General features: G+C 41.8%; 1 pseudogene; it reads right to left on the bottom strand.

Annotated features, from left to right (window-relative positions):
* RTN3P1 (reticulon 3 pseudogene 1) lies at positions 383-2,934 on the bottom strand (annotated as a pseudogene).

The following is a 10,460-nucleotide window of genomic DNA, read 5'->3' as shown; positions in this document are numbered from 1 at the left end:
CCAAATCTACGTCTGATTGGTGTACCTGAAAGTGATGGGGAGAATGGAACCAAGTTGGAAAATACTCTGCAGTATATTATCCAGGAGAACTTCCTCAATATAGCAAGGCAGACCAACATTCAAATTCAGGAAATACTGAGAATGTCACAAAGACACTCCTCAAGAAGAGCAACTCCAAGACACATAATTGTCAGATTCACCAAAGTTGAAATGAAGGAAAAAATTCTAAGGGCAGCCAGAGAGAAAGGTCAGGTTACCCACAAAGGGAAGCCCATCAGACTAACAGCTGATCTCTCAGCAGAAACTCTACAAGCCAGAAGAGAGTGGGGGCCAATATGCAACATTCTTTGTGTGTGTGTGTGTGTGTGTGTGTGTGTGTGTGTTATTAATACCACATCAATTTGCAATTTTACAGGAACCAAGATTCAAGCTCCTTAGGTGCTACTGTATTTTTATGTTGCATGCACAGACACGTACACACAGTTTCATTAGTAATTTTTCATCTGCAGGTTTTTCTTAAAAAAAAAAATCCTGTGTGGCACAAAGATCTCTTCAATTATCTAAACACAGCAGCAACAAAAGAAAATAACTGGATGAGGCTCTTCCACTGCAGAAGGTCCTTTGGAGGGGAAGCCCAAAAAGACAATCACTGACTTCCTGGGAGGGCAGAGGATGAGGATGGAGAATGCACTTCCTACTAGGACATGAAACCAGTTAAAACACTCAAAGGGGGCTAAGAAAATAAGATGAAGTAAGGCAAGGGTACCTTTTACCCATCCAAATTCCTAATTAATTTTCCCAAAACACGTAGAAAGACAATTTCCTTCCACTACTTTTTGCAGCTGCCGTACTTTGGGACCATCAAATATCATAGCCCTTACTTTAAACTCGCCAGTGCATATTCCCTCTGAAGGATCATGACTATGAGTGAGAACCTGAAGGAACTCACAGATGATTTTTCTTTCAATTTCGCTGAATTTTCATATTGAAGGTGAAGAAAAAAACTTGCCCCCAAATGGGAATCGGACATTTGAATCTCGGGAAAAGATCAAGAAAAGAACAACTGGGAAAAGATCAAGAAAAAAAGGCTTTCTGTATTTCACCTCTTGAGAATGTTCCCCCCCAGACTGAGATAGGATCACAATAACTCAATAACTGAGGAGCCCACATGCAGGTTATTTTTTCTCTAACAAGTTTACAGCAGTGCACAGCAGTTACAGACATTTATTTTATAATAAGAAAAGTACAACCATATTTATTAAACTTGAGGCGGGCAGGGGAGAGGGAGGAAAGCACATTCGGGAACGAGTTCTCAAACTAACGCTCAGAACTGGTGTCCAGTGATGTAGAAACCACTTGCCCAAATGGCGGAGCCTTTCCTTCCCTGGGGATAGTGGCAGAGGGAGTGACGGCCACTGCAGCATTCCTGCTGACTCCCTCTCAGTCCCACTTTCCATTTCTATTCTTTCTTATCAGATGGCATTCTTGGAATCAGGAATTATCACTATCACTTATAAGTTATTCATCAAGTTGAAAGTTAAATCATTAAAGAAAAGGAGTATCAGGAGTAGCTGCTCACATTGTGGGGCAGGAAGATAGGATTTGAGGGCTGCAAAAAAAAAAACAAAAACAAGGAAGGCATCACACTCCTGTCCCCAAATAATTTTTTCATAAGTTAATCATTACTTCTTAAGGGCAAAACTATAATGGATAGCTGAGTAAGACTAGTGCTGAAAACTGGATAGAAGGACCCAGAGGTGTTCTATCTTTCATTTTCTCTTTTACCTCCAATCTTTCCCCTTTCAAGCTACAGGTAAAGGCTCTACCACCATTAAGGTGTTGACTTATCCTATGAATTTGATTCTTTCTTCTTCTGAGTTCTAAGATAGTTCTTTTATCAGTCCATCAGTTTTTGTGCTTGATACTGAGGGTTAAAGGGAAAGGATGGGAGAAAACACCAAATTAAAAAAAAAGCTTGGAATGCAGGCTCAAGCTGACACTGAGTATGTTCGTTCACAGTACAAGCAACGACGTTATAACTATTAAATGGTGTTTTAGTAACTGTTGCATTTCTGGTTCCATGTACTTATTCTGCCTTTTTTTTGGCGATTCCAGGGAGTTTTGCTTGGATCTTTTCAACAATTGACTTGGTCTGATGTCGGGCGATGCCAACATAGTGATCAATCTGGGTCTTGTACTTCTCATAGACAATCGGGACACTGAAAATGAGCAGTTCAGCAAGAATTAGAAGGGTGATTCCGTTAAAAAAAGCACCAACATAGGTCATCAGCCACATGAAGACAGCCTGCTTCAAGGAGTCAACCAGATCTTCTACTAGAAAGAGAAGAATAATGAGTTTCAGGGCCCTGTTGATGTGCACCACGGCAGCATTCATGTAATTATGGAAAGCTTCCGAGGACAGAGTAATGTCTACGTCCAGGTAGGCTTTGATTGGATGGCCTTCTTCTGACTTCTGTACAGCTTGGATGACGGACTTGTAGATCCTGAAGCTGATGGTGACAGAGAGAAGAGCCAGGATGAGGTAAGAAACCACACTGATGACACTGAAAGCTGCCAGGGAAAGCAGCATGATCAGCGTGGTGGCAAAGACAAACCCAGTCTTCTTTACATCTCTCCAGAAAAGCAGATCGTGAACCGCACAGGAGGAGCTGCAGCTCTTCGTCCCCAGGGCAGGGCAGGCTCCTGGGCTTCCGCTGCCGCCGGATGCGGACGTCTCGGCTCCGGAGGACGACGAGGAGATGGAAGGGGACTGAGTGGCCGCCGATGGCTCCGCCATGGCTACGTGAGCGAGGGTGGGAGAAGGGTGAAAAGAGATAGGGGGCGGGAGAGAGGGAGGGGAAATAGAATAATCTGGCAACTGGCTCGTTCAAGTCCCTTTACTCTGCCTGCTCTGAGGACAGACTCCGACAGACTGACTCAGCCGAGTGCAGCTAGAGGGCTGCAACATTCTTTTTTTTTTTTTATTATACTTTAAGTTTTAGGGTACATGTGCACATTGTGCAGGTTAGTTACATATGTATACATGTGCCATGCTGGTGTGCTGCACCCACTAACTCGTCATCTAGCATTAGGTATATCTTCCAATGCTATCCCTCCCCCCTCCCCCCACCCCACCACAGACCCCAGAGTGTGATATTCCCCTTCCTGTGTCCATGTGATCTCATTGTTCAATTCCCACCTATGAGTAAGAATATGCGGTGTTTGGTTTTTTGTTCTTGCGATAGTTTACTGAGACTGATGATTTCCAATTTCATCCATGTCCCTACAAAGGACATGAACTCATCATTTTTTATGGCTGCATAGTATTCCATGGTGTATATGTGCCACATTTTCTTAATCCAGTCTATCATTGTTGGACATTTGGGTTGGTTCCAAGTCTTTGCTATTATGAATAGTGCCGCAATAAACATACGTGTGCATGTGTCTTTATAGCAGCATGATTTATAGTCCTTTGGGTGTATACCCAGTAATGGGATGGCTGGGTCAAATGGTATTTCTAGTTCCAGATCCCTGAGGGATCGCCACACTGACTTCCACAATGGTTGAACTAGTTTACAGTCCCACCAACAGTGTAAAAGTGTTCCTATTTCTCCATATCCTCTCCAGCACCTGTTGTTTCCTGACTTTTTAATGATTGCCATTCTAACTGGTGTGAGATGATATCTCATAGTGGTTTTCATTTGCATTTCTCTGATGGCCAGTGATGATGAGCATTTTTTCATGTGTTTTTTGGCTGCATAAATGTCTTCTTTTGAGAAGTGTCTGTTCATGTCCTTCGCCCACTTTTTGATGGGGTTGTTTGTTTTTTTCTTGTAAATTTGTTTGAGTTCATTGTAGATTCTGGATATTAGCCCTTTATCAGATGAGTAGGTTGCGAAAATTTTCTCCCATTTTGTAGGTTGCCTGTTCACTCTGATGGTAGTTTCTTTTGCTGTGCAGAAGCTCTTTAGTTTAATTAGATCCCATTTGTCAATTTTGGCTTTTGTTGCCATTGCTTTTGGTGTTTTGGACATAAAGTCCTTGCCCATGCCTATGTCCTGAATGGTAATGCCTAGGTTATCTTCTAGGGTTTTTATGGTTTTAGGTCTAACGTTTAAATCTTTAATCCATCTTGAATTGATTTTTCTATAAGGTGTAAGGAAGGGATCCAGTTTCAGCTTTCTACATATGGCTAGCCAGTTTTCCCAGCACCATTTATTAAATAGGGAATCCTTTCCCCATTGCTTGTTTTTCTCAGGTTTGTCAAAGATCAGATAGTTGTAGATATGTGGCGTTATTTCTGAGGGCTCTGTTCTGTTCCATTGATCTACATCTCTGTTTTGGTACCAGTACCATGCTGTTTTGGTTACTGTAGCCTTGTAGTATAGTTTGAAGTCAGGTAGTGTGATGCCTCCAGCTTTGTTCTTTTGGCTTAGGATTGACTTGGCGATGCGGGCTCTTTTTTGGTTCCATATGAACTTTAAAGTAGTTTTTTCCAATTCTGTGAAGAAAGTCATTGGTAGCTTGATGGGGATGGCATTGAATCTGTAAATTACCTTGGGCAGTATGGCCATTTTCACGATATTGATTCTTCCTACCCATGAGCATGGAATGTTCTTCCATTTGTTTGTATCCTCTTTTATTTCCTTGAGCAGTGGTTTGTAGTTCTCCTTGAAGAGGTCCTTCACATCCCTTGTAAGTTGGATTCCTAGGTATTTTATTCTCTTTGAAGCAATTGTGAATGGGAGTTCACTCATGATTTGGCTCTCTGTTTGTATGTTGTTGGTGTATAAGAATGCTTGTGATTTTTGTACATTGATTTTGTATCCTGAGACTTTGCTGAAGTTGCTTATCAGCTTAAGGAGATTTTGGGCTGAGACAATGGGGTTTTCTAGATATACAATCATGTCATCTGCAAACAGGGACAATTTGACTTCCTCTTTTCCTAACTGAATACCCTTTATTTCCTTCTCCTGCCTAATTGCCCTGGCCAGAACTTCCAACACTATGTTGAATAGGAGTGGTGAGAGAGGGCATCCCTGTCTTGTGCCAGTTTTCAAAGGGAATGCTTCCAGTTTTTGCCCATTCAGTATGATATTGGCTGTGGGTTTGTCATAGATAGCTCTTATTATTTTGAAATACGTCCCATCAATACCTAATTTATTGAGAGTTTTTAGCATGAAGGGTTGTTGAATTTTGTCAAAGGCCTTTTCTGCATCTATTGAGATAATCATGTGGTTTTTGTCTTTGGCTCTGTTTATATGCTGGATTACATTTATTGATTTGCGTATATTGAACCAGCCTTGCATCCCAGGGATGAAGCCCACTTGATCATGGTGGATAAGATTTTTGATGTGCTGCTGGATTCGGTTTGCCAGTATTTTATTGAGGATTTTTGCATCAATGTTCATCAAGGATATTGGTCTAAAATTCTCTTTTTTGGTTGTGTCTCTGCCCGGCTTTGGTATCAGAATGATGCTGGCCTCATAAAATGAGTTAGGGAGGATTCCCTCTTTTTCTATTGATTGGAATAGTTTCAGAAGGAATGGTACCAGTTCCTCCTTGTACCTGTGGTAGAATTCGGCTGTGAATCCATCTGGTCCTGGACTCTTTTTGGTTGGTAAACTATTGATTATTGCCACAATTTCAGCTCCTGTTATTGGTCTATTCAGAGATTCAACTTCTTCCTGGTTTAGTCTTGGGAGAGTGTATGTGTCGAGGAATTTATCCATTTCTTCTAGATTTTCTAGTTTATTTGCGTAGAGGTGTTTGTAGTATTCTCTGATGGTAGTTTGTATTTCTGTGGGATCGGTGGTGATATCCCCTTTATCATTTTTTATTGTGTCTATTTGATTCTTCTCTCTTTTTTTCTTTATTAGTCTTGCTAGCGGTCTCTCAATTTTGTTGATCCTTTCAAAAAACCAGCTCCTGGATTCATTGATTTTTTGAAGGGTTTTTTGTGTCTCTATTTCCTTCAGTTCTGCTCTGATTTTAGTTATTTCTTGCCTTGTGCTAGCTTTTGAATGTGTTTGCTCTTGCTTTTCTAGTTCTTTTAATTGTGATGTTAGGGTGTCAATTTTGGATCTTTCCTGCTTTCTCTTGTGGGCATTTAGTGCTATAAATTTCCCTCTACACACTGCTTTGAATGCGTCCCAGAAATTCTGGTATGTTGTGTCTTTGTTCTTGTTGGTTTCAAAGAACATCTTTATTTCTGCCTTCATTTCGTTATGTACCCAGTAGTCATTCAGGAGCAGGTTGTTCAGTTTCCATGTAGTTGAGTGGCTTTGAGTGAGATTCTTAATCCTAAGTTCTAGTTTGATTGCACTGTGGTCTGAGAGATAGTTTGTTATAATTTCTGTTCTTTTACATTTGCTGAGGAGAGCTTTACTTCCAAGTATGTGGTCAATTTTGGAATAGGTGTGGTGTGGTGCTGAAAAAAATGTATATTCTGTTGATTTGGGGTGGAGAGTTCTGTAGATGTATATTAGGTCCGCTTGGTGCAGAGCTGAGTTCAATTCCTGGGTATCCTTGTTGACTTTCTGTCTCGTTGATCTGTCTAATGTTAACAGTGGGGTGTTAAAGTCTCCCATTATTAATGTGTGGGAGTCTAAGTCTCTTTGTAGGTCACTCAGGACTTGCTTTATGAATCTGGGTGCTCCTGTATTGGGTGCATATATATTGAGGATAGTTAGCTCCTCTTGTTGAATTGATCCCTTTACCATTATGTAATGGCCTTCTTTGTCTCTTTTGATCTTTGTTGGTTTGAAGTCTGTTTTATCAGAGACTAGGATTGCAACCCCTGCCTTATTTTGTTTTCCATTTGCTTGGTAGATCTTCCTCCATCCTTTTATTTTGAGCCTATGTGTGTCTCTGCACGTGAGATGGTTTTCCTGAATACAGCACACTGATGGGTCTTGACTCTTTATCCAATTTGCCAGTCTGTGTCTTTTAACTGGAGCATTTAGTCCATTTACATTTAAAGTTAATATTGTTATATGTGAATTTGATCCTGTCATTATGATGTTAGCTGGTGATTTTGCTCGTTAGTTGATGCAGTTTCTTCCTAGTCTCGATGGTCTTTACATTTTGGCATGATTTTGCAGTGGCTGGTACTGGTTGTTCCTTTCCATGTTTAGCGCTTCCTTCAGGAGCTCTTTTAGAGCAGGCCTGGTGGTGACAAAATCTCTCAGCATTTGCTTGTCTGTAATGTATTTGATTTCTCCTTCACTTATGAAGCTTAGTTTGGCTGGATATGAAATTCTGGGTTGAAAATTCTTTTCTTTAAGAATGTTGAATATTGGCCCCCACTCTCTTCTGGCTTGTAGGGTTTCTGCCGAGAGATCCGCTGTTAGTCTGATGGGCTTCCCTTTGAGGGTAACCCGACCTTTCTCTCTGGCTGCCCTTAACATTTTTTCCTTCATTTCAACTTTGGTGAATCTGACAATTATGTGTCTTGGAGTTCCTCTTCTCGAGGAGTATCTTTGTGGCGTTCTCTGTATTTCCTGAATCTGAACGTTGGCCTGCCTTGCTAGATTGGGGAAGTTCTCCTGGATAATATCCTGCAGAGTGTTTTCCAACTTGGTTCCATTCTCCGCATCACTTTCAGGTACACCAATCAGATGTAGATTTGGTCTTTTCACATAGTCCCATATTTCTTGGAGGCTTTGCTCATTTCTTTTTATTCTTTTTTCTCTAAACTTCCCTTTTCACTTCATTTCATTCATTTCATCTTGCATTGCTGATACCCTTTCTTCCAGTTGATCGCATCGGCTCCTGAGGCTTCTGCATTCTTCACGTAGTTCTCGAGCCTTGATTTTCAGCTCCATCAGCTCCTTTAAGCACTTCTCTGTATTGGTTATTCTAGTTATACATTCTTCTAAATTTTTTTCAAAGTTTTCAACTTCTTTGCCTTTGGAATGAATGTCCTCCCGTAGCTCAGAGTAATTTGATTGTCTGAAGCCTTCTTCTCTCAGCTCGTGAAAGTCATTCTCCATCCAGCTTTGTTCCGTTGCTGGTGAGGAACTGCGTTCCTTTGGAGGAGGAGAGGTGCTCTGTGTTTTAGAGTTTCCAGTTTTTCTGTTCTGTTTTTTCCCCATCTTTGTGGTTTTATCTACTTTTGGTCTTTGATGATGGTGATGTACAGATGGGTTTTCGGTGTGGATGTCCTTTCTGTTTGTTAGTTTTCCTTCTAACAGACAGGACCCTCAGCTGCAGGTCTGTTGGAATACCCTGCCGTGTGAGGTGTCAGTGTGCCCCTGCTGGGGGGTGCCTCCCAGTTAGGCTGCTCGGGGGTCAGGGGTCAGGGACCCACTTGAGGCAGTCTGCCCGTTCTCAGATCTCCAGCTACGTGCTGGGAGAACCACTGCTCTCTTCAAAGCTGTCAGACAGGGACATTTAAGTCTGCAGAGGTTACTGCTGTCTTTTTGTTTGTCTGTGCCCTGCCTCCAGAGGTGGAGCCTACAGAGGCAGGCAGGCCTCCTTGAGCTGTGGTGGGCTCCACCCAGTTGGAGCTTCCCGGCTGCTTTGTTTACCTAAGCAAGCCTGGGCAATGGCGGGCACCCCTCCCCCAGCCTCGCTGCCGCCTTGCAGTTTGATCTCAGACTGCTGTGCTAGCAATCAGCGAGATTCCGTGGGCGTAGGACCCTCCGAGCCAGGTGTGGGATATAGTCTCGTGGTGCGCCGTTTTTTAAGCCGGTCTGAAAAGCGCAATATTCGGGTGGGAGTGACCCGATTTTCCAGGTGCGTCCATCACCCCTTTCTTTGACTCGGAAAGGGAACTCCCTGACCCCTTGCGCTTCCCAGGTGAGGCAATGCCTCGCCCTGCTTCGGCTCGTGCACGGTGCGCGCACCCACTGGCCTGCGCCCACTGTCTGGCACTCCCTAGTGAGATGAACCCGGTACCTCAGATGGAAATCCAGAAATCACCCATCTTCTGCGTCGCTCACGCTGGGCTTTTTTTCTTTTTCAATCAACATTCTTAAAGAAAAGAATTTTCAACCCAGAATTTCATATCCAGCCAAACTAAGCTTCATAAGTGAAGGAGAAATCAAATACTTTACAGACAAGCAAATGCTGAGAGATTTTGTCACCACCAGGCCTGCCCTAAAAGAGCTCCTGAAGGAAGCACTAAACATGGAAAGGAACAACTGGTACCAGCCACTGCAAAAACATGCCAAATTGTAAAGACCATCAAGGCTAGGAAGAAACTGCATCAACTAACGAGCAAAATAACCAGCTAAAATCATAATGACAGGATCAAATTCACACATAACAATACTAACCTTAAATGTAAATGGGCTAAATGCTCCAATTAAAAGGCATAGACTGGCAAATTGGATAAAGAGTCAAGACCCATCAGTGTGCTGTATTCAGGAAACCCATCTCACGTGCAGAGACACATATAGACTCAAAATAAAGGGATGGAGGAAGATCTACCAAGCAAATGGAAAACAAAAAAAGGCAGGGGTCGCAATCCTAGTCTCTGATAAAACAGACTTTAAACCAACAAAGAGCAAAAGAGACAAAGAAGGCCATTACATAATGGTAAAGGGATCAATTCAACAAGAAGAGCTAACTATCCTAAATATATATGCACCCAATAGAGGAGCACACAGATTCATAAAGCAAGTCCTTAGTGACCTACAAAGAAACTTAGACTCCCACACAATAATAATGGGAGACTTTAACACCCCACTGTCAACATTAGACAGATCAACAAGACAGAAAGTTAACAAGGATATCCAGGAATTGAACTGAGCTCTGCACCAAGCGGACCTAATATACATCTACAGAACTCTCCATCCCAAATCAACAGAATATGCATTCTTTTCAGCACCACACCACACCTATTCCAAAATTGACCACATACTTGGAAGTAAAGCACTCCTCAGCAAATGTAAAAGAACAGAAATTATAACAAACTATCTCTCAGACCACAGTGCAATCAAACTAGAACTTAGGATTAAGAAACTCACTCAAAACCACTCAACTACATGGAAACTGAACAACCTGCTCCTGAATGACTACTGGGTACATAACGAAATGAAGGCAGAAATAAAGATGTTCTTTGAAACCAACGAGAACAAAGACACAACATACCAGAATCTCTGGGACACATTCAAAGCAGTGTGTAGAGGGAAATTTATAGCACTAAATGGCCACAAGAGCAAGCAGGAAAGATCTAAAATTGACACCCTGACATCACAATTAAAAGAACTAGAGAAGCAAGAGCAAACACATTCAAAAGCTAGCAGAAAACAAGAAATAACTAAGATCAGAGCAGAACTGAAGGAAATAGGGACACAAAAAACCCTTCAAAAAATCAATGAATCCAGGAGCTTGTTTTTTTAAAAGATCAACAAAATTGATAGAACACTAGCAAGACTAATAAAGAAGAAAAGAGAGAAGAATCAAATAGACGCAATAAAAAATGACAAAGGGGATATCACCACCGATCGCAC

This window comes from Homo sapiens, chromosome 4 (assembly GCF_000001405.40).
Source record: "Homo sapiens chromosome 4, GRCh38.p14 Primary Assembly".
NCBI lineage: Eukaryota > Metazoa > Chordata > Mammalia > Primates > Hominidae > Homo > Homo sapiens.
This window is presented reverse-complemented; position numbering and strand designations above follow the sequence as displayed.